This window comes from Homo sapiens, chromosome X (genome assembly GCF_000001405.40).
Source record: "Homo sapiens chromosome X, GRCh38.p14 Primary Assembly".
Lineage (NCBI taxonomy): Eukaryota > Metazoa > Chordata > Mammalia > Primates > Hominidae > Homo > Homo sapiens.
This window is the reverse complement of record NC_000023.11, coordinates 69,855,226-69,876,367: the sequence shown is the minus strand read 5'-3', so window position 1 is coordinate 69,876,367 and position 21,142 is coordinate 69,855,226. Positions and strand designations below refer to the sequence as shown.

General features: G+C 39.3%; 1 protein-coding gene across 8 annotated transcripts in view; it reads right to left on the bottom strand.

Annotated features, from left to right (window-relative positions):
* The window catches only part of EDA (ectodysplasin A), a 423,360-nt gene that overhangs the window by 163,105 nt on the left and 239,113 nt on the right, over nucleotides 1–21,142 (bottom strand). For 2 of the 8 annotated variants that reach the window (NM_001005613.4, NM_001005610.4), the window contains one exon: nucleotides 15,251–15,511. The exons of the other annotated variants lie outside the window; for them this stretch is intronic. Coding sequence is in view for 1 of the 2 variants with exons in the window: in NM_001005610.4 (NP_001005610.2) it covers nucleotides 15,500–15,511 (12 nt within the window). In the remaining variant the exon portion in view is untranslated. Of the gene's footprint in view, nucleotides 1–15,250; nucleotides 15,512–21,142 lie in introns of those variants that run through there. 8 annotated transcript variants of the gene reach the window in all.

Sequence of the window (21,142 nt, the reverse complement as noted above, 5' to 3'; positions counted from 1 at the left end):
GGTGATTTCTAAGATTTTTGTGCACTCATCACCTGAGCAGTGTACATTGTACTCAATGTGTAATCCTTTATACCTCACCATATATATATATGCCACAGTTTCTTTATCCACTCGTTAACTGATGGGCATTTGGGCTGGTTCCATATTTTTGGAACTGCAAATTGTGTTGCTATAAACATGCGTGTGCAGGCATCTTTTTTGCTTAATGACTTATTTTCCTCTGGGTAGATACATAGTAGTGGGATTGCTGGATCAAATGGTAGATCTACTTTTAGTTCTTTAAGGAGTCCCCACACTGTATTTCATAGCGGTTGTGCTAGTTTACATTCCCACCAGCAGTGCAAAAGTGTTCCCTTTTCACCATGTCCATGCCAATATCTCTTATTTTTTGATTTTTTGATTATGGCCATTTTTGTAGCAGTAAGGTGGTATCACGTGGTTTTGGTTTGCATTTTCCTGATAATTTGTGATGTTGAGCATTTTTCATATGTTTGTTGGCTGTTTATATATATCTTCTTTTGAGAACTGTCTATTCATGTCCTTAGCCTATGTTTTGATGGGATTCTTTGGTTTTTTGGGGGGCTGATGTGTTTGAGTTCTTTATAGATTCTGGATATTAGTCCTTTGTCAGATGCATAGTTTGTAAAGATTTTCTTCCTCTCTGTGGGTTGTCTGTTTACTCTGCTGACTGTTCTTTTTGCCATGCAAAAGCTCTTTAGTTAATTAAGTCCCACTTATTTATCTTTGTTTTTGTTGCATTTGCTTTTAGGTTTTTGGTCATGAAGTAAATTTGCCTAAGCCAATGTCTAGAAGGGTTTTTCTGATGTTATCTTCTAGAATTTTTATAGTTTCAGGTCTTAGATTTCTAAGTCCTTGATCCATCTTGAGTTGATTTTTTGTATAAAGTGAGAGATGAGGATCCAGTTTCATTCTCCTGCATGTGGCCTGCCAATTATCCCAGCAGCATTTGTTGAATAGGGTGTTCTTTCCCCACTTTATGTTTTTGTTTGCTTTGTTGAAGATCAGTTGGCTCTAAGTGTTTGACTTTATTTCTAGGTTCTCTATTCTGTTCTGCTGATCTATGTGCCTATTTTTATATCAGCACCATGCTGTTTTGGTGACTATAGCCTTATAGTATAGTTCAAAGTCAGGTATTGTGAGGCCTCCAGATTTGTTCTTTTTGCTTCATCTTGCTTTGGCTGTGTGGGCTCTTTTTTGCTTCCATATGAATTTTAGGATTGTTTTTTCTAGTTATATGAAGAATGATGATGGTATTGTGATGAGAATTGAACTTGTAGATTGCTTTTGGCAGTATGGTTATTTTCGTAATATTAATTCTACCCATCCATGAGCATGGAATGTGTTACCATTTGTTTGTGCCATTTATTGTTTCATTCAGCAGTGTTTTGTAGTTTTCCTCATAGAGGTCTTTCATTTGCTTGGTTAGTTATATTCCTAAGTATTTTATTTTTTTGCAGCTATTGTGAAAGGGGTTGAGTTCTTGATTAGATTCTCAGCTTGGCTGCTGTTGGTGTATAGCAGACCTACTGATTTGTGTACATTAATTTTGTATTCTGAAACTTTGCTGAATTAATTTACCAGTTCTAGGAGGTTTTTGGATGAGTCTTTAGGGTTTTCTAGGTATATGACCATATAATCAGTAAACAGTGACATCCTCTCTACGAATCTGGATGCCCTTTCTTTCTTTCTCTTGTCTGATTGCTCTGGCTAGGACTTCCAGTACTATGTTGAATAGAAATGGTGAAAGTGGGCATCCTCGTCTTGTTTCAGTTCTCAGGAAGAACACTTTCAACTTTTCCCCATTCAGTATAATGTTGGCTGTGGGTATGTCATAGATAGCCTTTATTATCTTAAGGTATGTCCCTTGTATGCTGATTTTGCTGAGGGTTTTAAACATAAAGGGATGATGGATTTTGTCAAATGCTTTTTCTGCATCTATTGAGATGATCGTGTGATTTTTGTTTTTAATTCTGTTTATGTGGTGTATCACATTAATTGACTTACTTTTTTTTCTTTTCCTTTTTTTTTCTTCTTGAGGCAGAGTTTCGCTCTTTTTGCCCAGGCTGGAGTGCAATGGCACAATCTCAGGTCACCACAACCTCTGCCTCCCGGGTTCACGTGATTCTCCTGCCTCAGCCTCCTGAGTAGCTGGGATTACAGGCATGTGTCACCACGTCCAGCTAACTTTTTGTATTTTTAGTAGAGATGGGGTTTCTCCATGTTGGTCAGGCTGGTCTTGAACTTCCGACCTCAGGTGATCCGCCTGCCTCGGCCTCCCAAAGTGTTGGGATTACAGGCGTGAGCTACCGTGCCCAGCGACTTACATATGTTAAACCATCCCTGCAACCCTTGTATGAAACCACCTTGAGCATGATGGATTATCTTTTTGATATTCTGTTGGATTCGGTTTGCTAGTATTTTGTTGAGGATTTTTGCATCTATCAGGGATATTGGTCTGTAGTTTTCTTGTTTTGTTATGTCCTTTGCTGGCTTTGGCATTAGGGTGATACTGGCTTCATAGAATCATTCAGAGAGGATTCCCTCTTTCTCTATCTTTTGGAATAGTTTCCATAGGATTAGTACCAATTCTTCTTTGACTGTCTGATAGAATTCAGCTGTGAATCTTTATGATCCCGGATTCTTTGCTTGTTGGCAATTTTTAAATTATCATTTCAATTCTCTCTTAGAATTTATCCATCTCCTCTAGGTTTTCTAGTTTATGCACATAAAGGTGTTCATAGTAGCCTTGAATGATATTTTGTATTTCTGTGGTATCAGTTGTAATATTTCCCATTTCATTTCTAATTGAGCTTCTTTGGATCTTCTCTCTTCTTGATTAATCTCACTAATGGTCTATCAATTTTATTTATGTTTTCAAAGAACCAGCTTTTTGTTTCATTTATCTTTTGTATTTTTTTTGTTTGTTTCAATTTCATTTAGTTCTGCTCTAATCTTTGTTATTTCTTTTCTTTTGCTGGATTTGGGTTTGGATTGTTCTTGTTTCTCCAGTTCTGTGAGGTGTGACCTTAGATTGTCTATTTGTATTCTTTCAGACTTTTTGATGTAGGCATTTAATGTTATGAACTTTCCTCTTAGCACTGCTTTTGATCTATCCCAGGGGTTTTGATAGGTTGTGTCACTATTATTGTTTAGTGCAAAGAATTTTTAAATTTCCATTTTAATTTCGTTCTTAACCCAATGATCACTCAGGAGCAGGTTACTTAATTTCCATGTATTTGCATGGTTTTGAGGGTTGCTTTTGGAGTTGCTTTCCAATTTTATTCCACTATGGTCTGAGAAAGTACTTGCTATAATTTCAATTTTCTTAAGTTTGTTGAGTTTTTTTTGGCCTATCATATGGTCTATCTTGGAGAATGTTCCATGTGCTGAGGAATAGAATATATATTTTGCAGTTGTTGGGTAGAATGTTCTGTATATATCTGTTAAGTCTATTTGTGTAGGGCATATTTTAAGTCCATTGTTTCTTTGTTGACTTTCTGTCTTGATGACCTGTCTAGTGCTGTCAGTAGGGTATTAAAGTCCCTCGCTATTATTATGTTGCTGTGTATCTCATTTCTCAGGTCTAGTAGTAATTGTTTTATAAATTTTGGAGCTCCAGTGTTAGGTGCATATATATTTACAATTGTGATATTTTCCTGTTGGACTAGTCCTTCTATCATTAATATAATGTTGCTCTGTCTTTTTAAACTGCTGTTGCTCTAAAGTTTGTTTTGTCTGTTATTAGTATAGCTACTCCAGCTTGCTTTTGGTGTCCATTTGCATGGATTATCTTTTCCCACCCCTTTATCTAAGTTCATGTGAGTCCTTATGTGTTAGGCGAGTCTCCTGAAGACAGTAGAAACTTGGTTGGTGAATTCTTATCCATTCTGCCATTCTATATCTTTTAAGTGGAGGATTTAGGCCATTCACATTCAAAGTTAGTATTGAGATGTGAGGTACTATTCTATACATCATGCTATTTGTTGCTTGAATACTTTGTTTTTTTGTTTGTGTTATTGTTATATAGGTCCTGTGAGATTTATGCTTTAAGGAGGTTCTATTTTGGTGTATTTTGAGAATTTGTTTCAAGATTTAGAGCTCCTTTTAGCAGTTCTTGTAGTGCCAGCTTGGTTATGGCAAATTCTCTCAGCATTTGTTTGTCTGGAAAAGATTGTATCTTTCCTTCATTTATGAAGCTTAGTTTCACTAGATACAAAATTCTTCATTGATAATTGTTTTGTTTAAGGAGGCTAAAAACAGGACCCCAATCCCCTCTACCTTGTAGGGTTTCTGTTGAGACATCTGCTGTTAATCTGATAGGTTTTCCTTTATAAGTTTCCTGATGTTTTTGTCTCACAGCTCCTAAGATTCCTTCCTATGTCTTGACTTTAGATAACCTGATGACTATGTACCTAGGTGATGATCTTTTTGTGATGAATTTCCCAGGTGTTCTTTGAGCTTCTTGTATTTGGATGTCTAGCTCTCTAGCAAGGCCAGGGAAGTTTTCCTCAATTATTTCCTCAAATATCTTTTCCAAACTTTTAGGTTTCTCTTCTTCCTCAGAAAGCCAGTTATTCTTAGGTTTGGATGTTTAACATAGTCCCAAAGTTCTTGGAAGATGTGATGGTTAATACTGAGTGCCAACTTGGTTGGATTGAGGGATACAAAGTATTAATCCTGGGTGTGTCTGTGTGGGTGTTGCCAAAAGAGATTAATATTTCAGTCAGTATGCTGGGGAAGGCAGATCCACCCTTAATCCAGTGGGCAATCTAATCAGCTTCCAGTGAATATAAAGCAGGCAGAAAAATGTGAAAAGGAGAGACGGGCCTAGCCTCCTAGTCTACATCTTCCTCTCATGCTGGATGCTTCCTGCCCTCGAACACTGGACTCCAAGTTCCAAGTTCTTCCGTTTTGGGACTCAGGCTGGCTCTCCTTACTCCTCAGTTTGCAGACAGCCTATTGTGGGACCTTGGGATTGTATAAGTTAATACTCAATAAATTCCCCTTTATATATGCATACTGTTAGTTCTGTCCCTCTGAAAGAACCATAACTAATACAGATTTTAGTACCAGGAGTGTTTCTAGAGAAACAGAATATTAAGCATGGAGTTCTTTTGTTGGTTTTGGGGTTTCTGGAGTTGGCTGCTTAATATGATTAGACTCAAAAATGCTAAGGACTCTACTTCTAATAGTATGGAGAACATTAATAGTCCTTGGCAGAAACTGTTTAGAGAGTTATGCAAAATAAATGCATTTGACACTTCTGATTCACCACTCATGAGAGGCAAGGAGCTCAATGACTCTATACATAATACCTTTGACCATATGTGGAGAACCAAGGAACATAATGAAGCTGGTTGGTTGCTCCTAAGTTCAGTGGAAAAAGTGATGAAAGAAAATGAACTCAGGGATTCTGTCACCTGACTTCAGAAGCAGATACTGAGCCGCAAATCTGCTAAGATTGCCCTGAGTGAGAGTCTTATCTCCTGCAGAGAAAGAGCTGAAACTGTGGAAAAACAGACACAAGCTCTTACTATACGAGTGGTTGACCTACAATGAAAGATGCATGCACAGCCTTGCCAAGTATCTACTGTTAAAATGAGGGCATTGATTGGAAAAAAAATGGGACCCTGCAACCTGGAATGGGGATGCGTGGGAGGACCCTGATGAAGCTGGGCACACTGAGTTTGCAAACTCTGATGAACCTTTTTTGCAAGAAGGAACAGTTTCCCCATCCCTAGTAGTGGCAACGTCCCCTCCCTGACCTATGCTGCCATCAGCTTGTCCACCTTTGAGGAGATAAACCCTGCACTGCCTGAGGCAACAGTAATGGCCTCCCCTGAGGCAGTTGCCAGGCAAGATAATGTTGATTCTCCTCAGAAACCACCCCCAACATCTCTGTTTGCCTCTAGACCTATAACTAGACTAAACTCCCGGCGGGCCCCTAGAGGTAAGTTTGAGAGTGTGACCCATGAGGAGGTGCACTACACTGGAAAAGAACTGTTTGAGTTCTCTAATTAATATAAACAGAAACCTGGAGAACAAGCATGGGAATAGATATTAAGGGTATCAGATAACGGTGGAAGAAACATAGAGTTGGATCAGGCTGAATTTATTGATTTGGGCCCACTAAGTAGGGACTCTGCTTTTAATGTTGCAGCTCAGGGAGTTAAAAAAGGTTATAATAGTTTATTTGCTTGGTTAGCTGAAATATGGATTAAAAGATGGCCCACCATGAGTGAGCTGGAAATGCCTGATCTTTCTTGGTTTAATGTAGAGGAAGGGATCCAAAGGCTTAGGGAGATTGGGATGGTGGAGTGGATTAGTTACTTTAGACTTACTCATCCCAGCTGGGAGGGTCCAGAAGCTATACCCTTGACTGATGCCTTGCAAAATAGATTTGTGAGGGCAGCACCTGCATCTTTGAATAGCCCTGTAATTGCTCTTCTCTGTATGTCAGATCTAATGGTGGGAACCATAGTCACTCAACTACAAAATTCAAATACAATGGGAATAATTGGATCCTGAGGTGGCAGCGGCCACGTGACAGCACTCAACCATGAAAGGCAAGGTGGGCATGGCTACCATAATGGACAGCAGAGGCAAAGCAACAATCAGAATAGTCTGACTAGTGGAGAGCTCTGACATTGGCTAATTAATCATGGTGTTCCTAGGAGTGAAATTGATAGGAAGCCTACTGCATTCCTACTTAAATTACACAAACAGAAAACTTCTAGGTCAAATGGACAAAAAACTAATTTGAATCACAGCCCCTCAATCAATTTCCAGACTTGAGCCCGTTTACAGACCCAGAACCCCTTGAATGAAGGGGAGGCTGGGTCCCCTTGAGGAAGGACCCCACTATATTACTGACAATTTATGCAGTGAATCTTTCTCCTCTCCTTCCCCAAGGAGACCTCCGGCCTTTTACCAGGGTAACTGTGCACTGGGGAAAGGGAAATGATCAGATATTTTGGGGACTACTGGACACTGGCTCTGAGCTGACCTTGATTCCAGGGGACCCAAAACGTCAAGTAGGGGCTTATGGAGGTCAGGTAATCAATGGAGTTTTAGCTCAGGTCAGACTTACAGTGGGTCCAGTGGGTCCCCAGACTCATCCTGTGGTCATTTCCTCAGTGCCAGAATGCATAATTGGCATAGACATACTTAGCAGCTGGCAGAACCCTCACATTGGCTCCCTGACTAGTAAGGTGAGGGCTACTATGGTGAGAAAGGCCAAATGGAAGCCATTAGAGCTGCCTCTACCTAGACGAATAGTAAATCAAAAACAATATTGCATCAGTGGCGGGATTGCAGAGATTAGTGCCACCATCAAGGTCTTGAAAGACACAGGGGTGGTGATTCCCACCACATCCCCATTCAACTCTCCCATTTGGCCTGTGCAGAAGACAGATGGATCTTGCAGAATGACAGTGGATTATCATAAGCTTAACCAAGTGGTAACTCCAATTGCAGCTGTTGTACCAGATGTGGTTTCATTGCTCGAGCAAATTAACACATCTACCGGTACCTGGTATGCAGCCATTGACTTGGCAAATGCCCTTTTTTCCATTCCTGTCCATAAGGCCCACCAGAAGCAATTTGCCTTCAGCTGGCAAGGCCGGCAATATACTTTACTATCCTACCTCAGGAGTATATTACCTCTCTGGCTTTGTGTCATAATCTTATTTGGAGAGACCCTGATCGCTTTTCTCTTCTGCAAGATATCATACTGGTCCATTACATTGATGACATTTTGCTGATTCGAACCAGTGAGCAAGAAGTAGCAAACACCATGGACTTACTGGTGAGACATTTGCATGCCAGAGGATGGGAAATATATTCAACTAAAACTCAGGAACCTTCTACCTCAGTAAAATTTCTAGGGGTCCAGTGGTGTGGGGCCTGTCAAGATATTCCTTCTAAGGCAAAGGATAAGTTGCTGCATTTGGCCCCTCCTACAACCATGAAAGAGGCACAATGCCTAGTGGTCTTATTTGGATTTTGGAGGCAACACATTCCTCATTTGAGTGTATTACACTGGCCTATTTATCAAGTGACCTGAAAGGCTGCCAGTTTTGAGTGAAGTTCAGAACAGGAGAAGATTCTGCAACAGGTCTAGGCTGCTGTGCAAGCTGCTCTGCCACTTGGACCATATGACCCAGCAGATTCAATGGTGCTTGAAGTGTCAGTGGCTGGTAGGGATGCTGTTTGGAGCCTTTGGCGGGCTCTCACAGGTGAATCACAATGGAGGCCTCTAGGATTTTGGAGCAAGGCCCTGCCATCTTCTGCAGATAACTACTCTCCTTTTGAGAGACAGCTCTTGGCCAGAGAGACTGGGCTTTTCCAGTTTGACTATGGGTTATCAAGTCACCATGAGACCTGAACTGCCTATCATGAACTGGGTGCTTTCTGACCCATCTAGCCATAAAGTGGGTCATGCACAGCAGCATTCCATCATTAAATGGAAGTGGTATATACGTGATTGGGCTCAAGCAGCTCCTGAAGGCACAAGTAAGTTACATGAGGAAGTGGCTCAAATGCCCATGGTCTCCACTCCTGCCACCCTACCTTCTCTCCCCCAGCCTGCACCAATGGCCTCATGAGGAGTTCCCTATGATCAGTTGACAGAGGAAGAGAAGATTACAGCCTGTTCACAGATGGTTCTGCATGATATGCAGGCACCACCTGAAAGTGGAAGCTAGAGCACTACAGCTCCTTTCTAGGACATCCCTGAAGGACAGTGGTGAAGGGAAATCATCCCAGTGGGTAGAACTTCGAGCAATGCTAGTTGTGCACTTTGCATGAAGGAGAAATGGCCAGATGTGCGATTATACACTGATTTGTGGGCTGTAGCTAATGGTTTGGCTGGATGGTCAGGGACTTGGAAGAAGCATGATTGGAAAATTGGTGACAAAGAAATTTGGGGAAGAGGTAGGCGAATGAACCTCTCTGAGTGGTCAAAAACTATGAAGATATTTGTATCCCATGTGAATGCTCACCAACAGGTGACCTCAGTGGAGGAGGAGTTTAATAATCAAGTGAATAGGATGACTCATTCTGTGTACACCACTCAGCCTCTTTTCCCAGCCACCCCTGTCATCACCCAATGGGCCCATGAACAAAGTGGCCATGGTGGCAGGGATGGAGGTTATGCATGGGTTCAGCAACATGGACTTCCATCCACCAAGGCTGACCTGGCTACAGCCACTGCTGAGTGCTCAATTTAACAGCAGCAGAGACCAACACTGAGCCCTCGATATAGCACCATTCTTTGGGGTGATCAGCTAGCCACCTGGTGGCAGGTTGATTATATTGGACCTCTTCCATTATGGAAAGGGCAGAGGTTTGTCCTCACTGGAATAGGCACTTACTCCAGATATGGGTTTACCTATCCTCCACACAATGCTTCTGCCAAGACTACCAACCGTGGACTAACGGAATGCCTTATCCACCATCACAGTATTCCACACAGCATTGCCTCTAACCGAGGCACTCACTTTATGGCTAAAGAAGTGCGGCAGGCAGTAGGCTCATGCTCATGGAATTCACTGGTCTTACCATGTTTCCCATCATCCTGAAGCAGCTGGATTGACAGAACGGTGGAATGGCCTTTTGAAGTCACGATTACAATGCCAATTAGGTGACAACACTGTGCCAGGCTGGGGCAAAGTTCTCCATAAGGCCGTGTATGCTCTGAATCAGCATCCAATATATGGTACTATTTCTCCCATAGCCAGAATTCACAGGTCCAGGAATCAAGAGATGGAAGTGGAAGTGGCACCACTTACCATCACCCCTAGTGATCCACTAGCAAAATTTTTGCCTCCTGTTCCCGCAACATTACGTTCTGCTGGCCTAGAGATCTTAGTTCTAGAGGGAAGAACGCTGCCACCAGGAGACATAACAATGATTCCATTAAACTGGAAGTTAAGATTGCCACCTGGACACTTTAGGCTCCTCCTAATCTTAAGTCAACAGGGTAAAAGGGGAGTTACAGTGTTGGCTGGGGTGGTTGACCCAGGCTATCAACATGAAATAAGTCTACTACTCCACAAGGATGGTAAGGAAGAGTATGCATGGAATACAGGAGATCCATTAGGGCGTCTCTTAGCATTACCATACCTTGTGATTAAGGTCAATGGGAAACTACAACAGCCCAATCCAGGCAGGACTATGAATGACCCAGACCCTCCAGGAATGAAGGTTTGAGTCACTCCACCAGGAAAAAAGCCATGACCTGCTGAGGTGCTCGCTGAAGGCAAAGAGAATACAGAATGGGTAGTAGAAGAAGGTAGTCATCAATACCAGCTACGACCACATGACCAGCTGCAGAAACGGGGACTGTAACTGTCATGAATATTTCCTACTTCTTTTGTTAAAAACATGTTGGTGCATTTATATACTTGTACTAAGAAAATATCTTCATCTTATTTCCTTTTCCTTTATCATGTGACGTAAGACTTACTGACTTCGTATCAGCATTTAAGTGTTAACTTTATTTAATAGTATTTGAGTTGGGGATTGGTGCAATTCCAGTTGTACGAAGGACAGTTGTATTATGTTAGGTGTAATTATGACCTCATTGTCTTTATTTGAAGATTATGAATGATCTCAGGAGATGTGTATGGGTTCAAGTTGACAAGGGGTGGACTTGTGATGGTTAATACTAAGTGTCAACTTGATTGGATTGAGGGATACAAAGGATTAATCTTGGGTGTGTCTGTGTGGGTGTTGCCAAAAGAGATTAACAATTGAGTCAGTGGGCTGGGGAAGGCAAATCCACCCTTAATCTGGTGGGCACGATCTAATCAGCTTCCAGTGAATATAAAGCAGGCAGGAAAATGTGAAAAGAAGAGACAGGCGTAGCCTCCCAGTCTACATCTTTCTCTCGTGCTGGATGCTTCCTGTCCTCAAACATTGGGCTCCAAGTTCTTCAGTTTTGGGACTCGGACTGGCTCTTCTTGCTCCTCAGCTTGCAAATAACCTATTGTGGGACCTTGTGATCCCACTATATATACATATATATGTATGTATATATATGGGAGTTTATTAAGTATAAACTTTATATATATACCCTATTAGTTCTGTCTAAGAAAACCCTGACTAATACAGAGGCTTTATTCATTTTTTAAATTCTTTTTTCTTTGTCTTTGATGGAGTGGGTTAATTTGAAAGCCTTGTCTTCAAGCTCTGAAGTTCTTTTTTATGCTTGTTTGATTCTATTGCTGAGACTTTCCAGTGCATTTTGCATTTCTCTGTGTCCTTGATTTCCAGAAGTTGTGATTGTTTTTTATTTATGCTATCTATTTCACTGAATAATTTTTCTTTCATATCCTGTATCATGTTTTTTATTTCAAGATGGAGTCTCGCTCTGTCACCCAGGCTGGAGTGCAGTGGCGATCTCGACTCACTGCAACCTCCACCTCCCAGGTTCAAGCAGTTCTCATACCTCAGCCTCCCGAGTAGCTGGTATTACAGGCATGCACTACCATGCCTGGCTAATTTTTGTAATTTTAGTAGAGGTGGGATTTCACCATGTTGGCCAGGCTGTTCTTGAACTCCTGACCTCAAGTGATCCACCCGCCTCAGCCTCCCACAGTGCTGGGATTACAGGCATGAGCCACTGTGCCTGGCCATGTTTTTGATTTAAGTTGGACTTCACTTTTTTCTGGTGCCTCCTTGATTAGCTTAATAATTGACCTTCTGAATTATTTTTCTGGCAATTCAGAGATTTCATCTTGGTTTGGATCCACTGCTTGTGAGCTGGTATGATCTTCTGGGGGTGTTAAAGAACATTGTTTTGTCCTATTACCAGAATTGTTTTTCTGGTTCCTTCTCATTTGGGTAGACTATGTCAGAGGGAAGATCTGGGATTCAAGGGCTATGGTTCAGATTCTTTTGTCCTACGAGGTGCTCCCTTGATGTGGTGTTCTCCCTGTCCCCTAGGAATGGGGCTTCCTGAGAGCTGAACTGTAGTGGCTGTTATTTCTCTTCTGGGTCCAGCCACCCAGTGGAGCTAATGGGCTCTGGGCTGGTACTAGGGAGTGTCTGCAAAGAGTGCATCAATTTTCAGGTGTGATCCATCTTCAGGTCTTGCAGCTGTGAGTACCAGCACCTGCTCCAGTGGAGTTAGCAGGGGAGTGAAGTGGACTCTGTGAGGGTCCTTGGTTGTGTCAGAATAGTACAATTTTAAAATTAAAAATTTAAAAGGCAACATTTGCTGTATGTAAATTATACTTCTATAAAACAAACATTTTAAAAAAGAATAACAACACTGAGAGAGAGAGAGAGCAATTAAGTTAGCTCTACCCCAGCACCTACTTCTAACATTAGTATGTAAAAACAAATGAATACATTCTTTAAAATAATGAATACAAAGAAGCCAGGTTAATTCACTAGTGGCTTAGGAAGTCAAGTAAAATGTCAATATAATGCTACATGTGAAAAGCTGCCAGTTTTTGCATGTGTATAAGATCGTTTCAAATTTTAGTGCTTGGTTCCATTTCAACCATCTCAAAATACAAAATGGTGCAATATTTAAGCTAGTACACAACTATTCCCTCTCTCACTTTGCACAGAATATATATACACACACACACATATACATACACATATGTATGTATATACATATATGCCCACACATACATACACCTGTAGATGCACATACATACATATACATATGTATATGTGTAAATACATATATACACACACACATAAATACACACATATATACACACATATATATACATATATGTATATATACACACACATATATACACACATATATATACATATATGTATATATATATATACACACACATATATATACATATATATGTATATATATATATACACTTTTCTTCTGTTTGCTTTATTGTCTATTTTTTTCAAGTTCTTCTTTTCTGTTTGGCTGTTGTTTACCCTATCTTTAATGTTTGAGGCTTCCTCAGCTATGTAGTAATCCTTGCCTACATGTTCATGTTAAAAAATGAATCAATAAAAAACTGACTGAAAGTTGTGTGCACATGATTGGAGCTTGTCAATGGGTAGACCATATGGTAGGGTCATTGAAGGCAAGGTGATTATTTGTTTAGGGGAGTCTCAAATATCAGTATCTGGAGGTCCTTTCTCTGGCCATTTAATTTCTTAAGAATCCTGTATTTCCTTACTGTGCAGGAGAGGCAAGAGAGAGGATGGAGGCACACAATTCACTGGGTACCAATTTGAGGGCAGGACAGTATCCCCTGGTTTACCATCTATTAATTTTACCATAGAGATATTCATCTATTTTTTTTTTTTTTCAGAAAATAAAGATCTATTTTCTTTCCTAGTGGTGGTGCTGTTGTGGTGTGTGTTAGAGTGAGGGGATCTGAGAGTCCAACTATTTCCTACATGGATTTTTAGTCAAGGCTATTGTTTTCAGCCCTGCATATTTCCCTGGCTTCTTGTTGGATTCAGTGCTTAAAAGTTACAAATCTCTCAGGGGTTATACAGGGCCAATTGGCTCCTTCTAGTAAGTACCACATTATGCAGGCATTTGTGTTGTAGTTACTCTACTTCACTCAGTTGCCACTCAGTGGTTGTTTTAAAATATGTTCTTGGCCAGGCACAGTGGCTCATACCTGTAATCACAGGACTGTGGGAGGCCGAGGAGAGGGGTTTGCTCAGGCCAGAAGTTTGACTAGACTGGGCAACATAGAGAGATCCTGATTCTACAAAAAAATAAAATAAAATAGCTGGGTATGGTGGCACATGACTGTAGTCCTAGCTACTGGGGAGGCTGAAGCAGTAGGATCACTTGAGCCCAGGAGGTTGAGACTGCAGTGAGCCATGATCATGCCACTGCACTCCAGCATGGGTGACAAAGTGAGACTCTGTCTCAAGAAAATATGTATGTTCACAACTTTTTAAAAATATTCCTTCCTTCAATAAATAAAACCTAATTTCCCTCTTGAATGTGAGCTGGACTTAATGCCTTGCTTCTAATGAACAGAATAAAGCAGAAATGATGGTATGCAACTTTGGAGACTAAATCATAAAAGGTACTACTGTGTCTTCATCATTTATCTTTTGGATCACTTGCTCTGGAGGAAGCCAGGTAACATGTCATAATGGTACTCAAGCAACCTGTGGAGAGGCCCATGTGGTGGAGAACTGAGGACTCCTGCGAATAGCTATGTGAGTGAGCCATTTTGGAAGCATATCCTCTAGCCCCAGTCAAATCTTCAGATGACTGTAGTCTTCCTAACAGCAACCTCATGAAAAATTTTGAGCCAGGAATCCCCAAGTAAATTACTTCCAGATTCCTAACTCTCAGGAATGGTGTGAGATAAGTACTTGTTATTTTAAGCCACTAAGTTTTGGAGTAATTTGTTATGCAGCCGTAGATAACTAATACTTGCTGTCATCTATCTTCTACCTATTCTCTTCAATATGTATTAAACTGTCTCATGAATTGAAGTTTCTTCTCCTGTTCTCTTTGTCCTCATGGATTCTTATCATTTTTATCTCAAATATCTCACAAACTCCTACTAAATGACAGAAACGTGGTTAATTTACCATGTTTAAGTAGAAACCTACTTTATTCTTTTTGCCTTAAGTTCTATTTTGTCTGATAGTAATGTAGTATCTCAGTTTTTTGTTAGTATTTGTCTTTTATTCTTTGGGTTTTAATCTTCCTGTGTTCTTATGCTTTAGATGAGTGTCTTATAGAGAGCATATGCCTAAATTTATTTTGTAAGTGTGATAATTTTTGTCTTTTAACCAGAGAATTTAGTCCATTTACATCTACTGTGATTATATACATACCAGCTCATTTTGTGCTTTGTATTTCTCCCACTTTTTCTATATTTCTTTTCATATTCCTTTTTCCCCACTGTTATGGATTGAGGATCCCCTTCACTCCTATTACTTTGAAAGCTATCTACTCTATTTCTACTATTTTATTGTTCACCCTAGAATTTACAGCATGTATATTTAAGTTTTAAGGTTAGTATATTCATGAACAATCTTTTCCTGAACTTGGATCATCCCCTGCTGGTTTGTATCATGTTATTGTCTGGTATTTTCTTTCTATATAGTTTTTCTTTAACTTACAAATTAGACATTATTATTGTTTTATAAAGCCAATGTTTGTTTATATTTACCCACATGTTTAAACAATCTTTGCTTGTTCTTCTGTCTTACATCTCAAATTTTCCTTCTGGGATCATTTTCTTCTTCTGTGAAGTACATCTTTTGGAAGTTTCCTTGGTGAGGATCTATAAGTCATAAACTCAGTTCTTTGCCTAAACACATCTTTATTTCACTTAGTGGTTTCAGTGGATATAAATGTTCATTTAACAGTTATTATTGAAGATGGCTGACTAGATGACGCCAGGTGAAACAGCTCCCACTGAGGGACTGAGACGACTCGTGTGCTTTTAACAGATCTTCAGAGTGAAGGTGCTGAGAGTGGACAGAGGGAAGACACAACTCATTGGTGTCCCTGAAAGAGATGGGGAGAATAGAACCAACTTGGAAAACATATTTCAGGATATCATCCATGAGAATTTCCCCAACCTAACTAGAGAAGCCAATATTCAAATAAAGGAAATGCAGAGAACCCCAAGAAGATACTCTTTGAGAAGGTCGACCCCAAGACACATAATCATCAGATTTTCCAAGGTTGAAATGAAAGAAAAAATGTTAAATGCAGCTAGAGAGAAGGTCAGGTCACCTACACAGGGAAGCCCATCATCAGATTACCAGTGAACATCTCAGAAACCCTATAAGCCAGAAGAGATTGGAAGCCAATATTCAACACTCTTAAAGAAAATAAATTCCAACCCATAATTTCATATCCCGCCAAACTAAGCTTCATAAGCAAAGGAGAAATAAGGTCATTTTCAGACAAGCAAATGCTGAGGGAATTTGTTACCACCAAACCTGCCTTACAAGAGCTCCTGAAGGGAGCACTAAATATGGAAAGGAAAGACCATTACCAATCACTACAAAAACACACTGAAGTACACAGACCAGTGACATTATGAAGCAACCACATAATCAAGTCTGAAAAATAACCAGCTAACATCATGATGACAGGATCAAATCCATACATATCAATACTAATCTTAAATGTAAATGAGCCAAACACCCCAATTAAAAGACACAGAGTGGCAAGCTGGATAAAGAGCCAAGATCCATTGGTATGCTGTCTTCAAGAGATCCATCTCACATGCAATGGCATACATTGGCTCAAAATAAAGGGATGGAGAAAAATCTACCAAGCAAAGAGAAAACAGAAAACAACAGTTGTTGCAACCCTGATTTCTGATAAAACAGACTTTAAACCAGCAAAGATAAAAAAAAAAAATACAAGGAAGGGCATTATATAATGGTAAAGGGTTCTATTGAAAAAGAAGATCTAACTATCCTAAATATATATGCACCCAACACAGAAGTACCCAGATTCATAAAGCAAGTTCTTAGAGACCTTCAAAGAGACTTAGACACCCACACAATAATAGTGAGAGACTTTAACACCTCACTGACAATATTAGACAGATCATTGAGACAAAATTAACAAAGATACTCAAGACATGAACTCAGCAATGGATCATATGAACCTGATAGATATCCACAGAACTCTCCACCCAAAAACTACAGAATATGCATTCTTCTCATCACTACATGGCACATACTCTAAAATCGATTGCATAATTGTAAGCAAAGCACTCCTCAGCAAATGCCAAAGAACCGAAATCATAACAAAAGAATATCCTGGACCACAGTACAAACAAGTTAGAAATCAAAACTAAGGCTCAAGACCATACAATTACATGGAAATTGAATAACCTGCTCCTGAATGACTTTTGGATAAATAATGAAATTAAGGCAAAAATCAAGAAGTTCTTTGAAATTACTGAGAACAAAGATACAACATACCAGAATCTCTGGGACACAGCTAAGGCACTGTTAAGAGGTAAATTTATAGCACTAAATGCCCACATCAAAAAGTTAGAAAGATCTCAAGTTAACCTAACATCACAACTTAAAGACTTGAGAATCAAGAACAAACAAACCCCAAAGCTAGCAGAAAACAAGAAATAACCAAAATCAGAGGTGAACTGAAGGAGATAGAGACATGGAAAACCATTTAAAAGATTAATGAATCTAGGAGCTGTTTCTTTGAAAAAATTAATTAAATAGACATACCACTAGCTAAACTAATAAAGAAGAAATGAGAGAAGATTCAAATAAACACAAAAAGAAATGACAAAGGGAATATTACCACTGACCCCACAGAAATACAAACAATCATCAAAGAATATTATGAACACCTCTATGCACATAAACTAGAAAATCTAGAAGAAATGGTTAAATTCTTGGACACACATACCTTCCCAAGATTGAACCAGGAAGAAATTGAATCCCTGAACAGACCAATAACAAGCTCCATAAGTGAGGCAGTAATAAATAGCCTGCCAACCAAAAAAAGCCCAGGACCAGAGAGATTCATAGCTGGTTTCTACGAGATGTACAAAGAAGAGTTGGTTTCATGCCTACTGAAACTATTTCAAAAAAATGATGAGGAGGGATTCCTCCCTAACTCATTCTACAAGGCTAGCATCATCTGAATACCAAAACCTGACAGAGATAACATCAAAAAAAGAAAACTTTAGGCCAATATCCTTGATGAACATTGATGCAGAAATCCTCAACAAAATACCAGCAAACGAACTCCAGCAGCACATCAAAAAGCTTATCCACCACGATCAAATATACTTTATCCCTGGGATGCAAGGTTGGTTCAACAGACACAGATCAATGAATGTGATTCATCACATAAATAGAACTAAAGACAAAACCCACATGATTATCACAATAGATACAGAAAAGGTTTTCAATAAAATTCAACACCTCTTCATGGTTTTTAAAAAAACTCAATAAACTAGGTATTGAAGAAGCATACCTAAAAATAATAAGAGCCATCTATGGCAAACCCACAGCCAATATACTTAATGGGCAAAAGCTGGAAGCATCCCCCTTGAAAACACTCACAAGACAAGGATGCCCTCTCTTGACTCCTATTCATCATAGTATTAGAAGTCCTGGCCAGAGCAATCAGGCAAGATAATGAAATAAAGGGCATCCAAATTGGTAAAGAGAAAGTCAAACTATCCCTGTGTGCAGATGACGTGATCCAGTATTTAGAAAACCCTATAGTCTTGGCCCAAAAGCTTCTTAAGCTGATACACAACTTAGGCAAAGTCCCAGGGTACAGAATCAATGTACAAAAATCAGTAGCATTCCTATACACCAACAACAGGAAAGCTGAGAGCCAAATCAGGAATGCAATCTCATTCACAATTGCCACAAAAGAATAAAATACCTAGGAATACAGCTAACCAAGGAGGTGAAAGATCTCTACAAGGAGAACTACAAAGCACTGCTGAAAGAAATCATAGTACACAAACAAATAGAAACACATCCAGTGCTCATCGATAGATAGAATCAATATTGTGAAAATGACCATACTGCCAAAAGCAATCTACAAATTCAATGCAATTCCCATAACAAGACCTTCATCGTTTTTCACAGAACTAGATAAAACAAACAATCCTAAAATTCATATGGAACCAAAAAAGAGCCCACATAGACAAAATGGAAACACATCCAATGCTCATCGATAGATATAATCAATATTGTGAAAATGACCATACTGCCAAAAGCAATCTACAAATTCAATGCAATTCCCATAACAATACCTTCATCATTTTTCACAGAACGAGAAAAAACAATCCTAAAATTCATATAGAACCAAAAAAGAGCCCGCATAGCCAAAATGGAAACACATCCAATGCTCACTGATAGACAGAATCAATATTGTGAAAATGACCATACTGCCAAAAGCAATCTACAAATTCAATGCAATTCCCATAACAATACCTTCATCATTTTTCACAGAACTAGAAAAAACAATTCTAAAATTCATATGGAACCAAAAAAGAGCCTGCATAGCCAAAGCAACACTAAGCAAAAAGAACACATCTGGAGGCCTCACAATACGGGACTTCAAACTATAAGGCTACAGTCACCAAAACAGCATGGTGCTGGTATAAAAATAGGCACATAGATTAATGGAACAGAATAGAGAACTCAGAAATAAAGCCAAATACTTACAGCCAACTGATCTTCGACAAAGCAAAGAAAAACATAGAGTAGGGAAATGACACCCTGTTCAACAACCGGTTCTGGGATAATTGGCAAGCCACATGTTGGAAAATGAAATTGGATCCTCGTCTCCCACCTCGTACAAAAAAATCAACTCAAGATGGATCAAGGACTTAAACCTAAGACCTGAAACTATAAAAATTCTAGAAGATAACATCAGAAAAGCCCTTCTAGACATTGGCTTAGGCAAAGACTGCATGACCAAAAACCCAAAAGCAAATGCAACAAAAACAAAGTCAAATAGGTGGGACTTAATTAAACTAAAGAGCTTTTGGATGGCAAGAGGAACAGTTAGCAGAGTAAACAGACAACCCACAGAGTGGGAGAAAATCTTTGCAAACTATGCATCTGACAAAGGACTAACGTCCAGAAGCTACAAAGAACTCAAACAAATCAGCCCCCTCCAAAAAAAAAAAATAATCGCATCAAAAAGTAAGCTAAGGACATGAATAGACAGTTATCAAAAGAAGATATACAAACAGCCAACAAACATATGAAAAATGCTCAACATCACAAATTATCAGGGAAATGCAAATCAAAACCACCAGGTGATACCACCTCACTACTACAAGAATGGCCATAATTAAAAAATCAAAAAATAACAGATGTTGGTGTGGATGTGGTGAAAAGGGAACACTGTTACAGTGCTGGTGGGAATGTCAATTAGTATAACCTTTATGGAAAAGAGTATAGAGTTTCCTTAAAGAACTAAAAGTAGATCTACCATTTGATACAGCAATCCCACTACTGGGTATCTACCTCGAGGAAAATAAGACATTATATGAAAAAAAAAACCTTACACATGCATGTTTATAGCAGCAGAATTTGCAACACACACACACACACACACACACACACACACACACACACACACCATGGAATACTACTCAGCCATAAAAAGGAATGAAATAATGGCATTTGCAGCAACCTGGATGGAGTTGGAGACCATCATTCTAAGTGAAGTAACTCAGGAGTGGAAAATCAAACATTGTATATTCTCACTTATAAGTGAGAGCTAAGCTATGAGGATGCAAAGACATGAATGATACAATGGACTTTGGGGACTTGAGGGGAAGTGTGGGAGAGGGGTGAGGGATAAAAGACTACAAATAAGGTGCAGTGTATACTGCTTGGGTGATGGGTGCACCAAAATCTCAGAAATCATCACTAAAGGACTTATCCACGTAACCAAACATCACCTGTTCCCCAAAAACCTATTGAAATAAATAAAAAATAAATAAAATGCTGAGCAAAAAAATAAACTACCATTGAGATTCTTCACAGAACTAGAAAAAAACTATTTTAAAATTCAGATAGAACCAGAAAAGACCCCGAATATACAAGACAATCTTAAGCAAAAAGAACAAAGCTGCAGGTAACATGCTATCTGACTTCAAACTATACTATGGGGCTACAGCAAGCAAAATAGCATGGTACTGGTATAAGTACAGACATGTAGACCAATGGAACAGAATAGAGAACCCAGAAATAAGGCCGCACACCTACAACCATCTGGTCTTCCACAAACCTGACAAAAATAAGCAATGGAAAAAAGACTCCTTATTCAATAAATGGTGCTGGGAATACTGTCTAGCCATATGCAGAAGATTGAAACTGGACTCCTTCCTTATACTATATAGAAAAATTAATTAAAGATGGATTAAAGACTTAAATGTAAAACCCAAAACTACACAAACCCTGGAAGAAAACTTAGGTGATATCATTCAAGACATAGAAACAGGCAAAGATTTCACAACGAAGAAATCTTTGCTTTCCAAAAGCAACTGGAACAAAAGCAAAAACTGACAAATGTGATCTAATTAAACTTAAGAGCTTCTGCAGAGCAAAGGAAACTATCAACCGAGTGAACAGGCAACCTACGGAATGGGAGAAATTTTTTGCA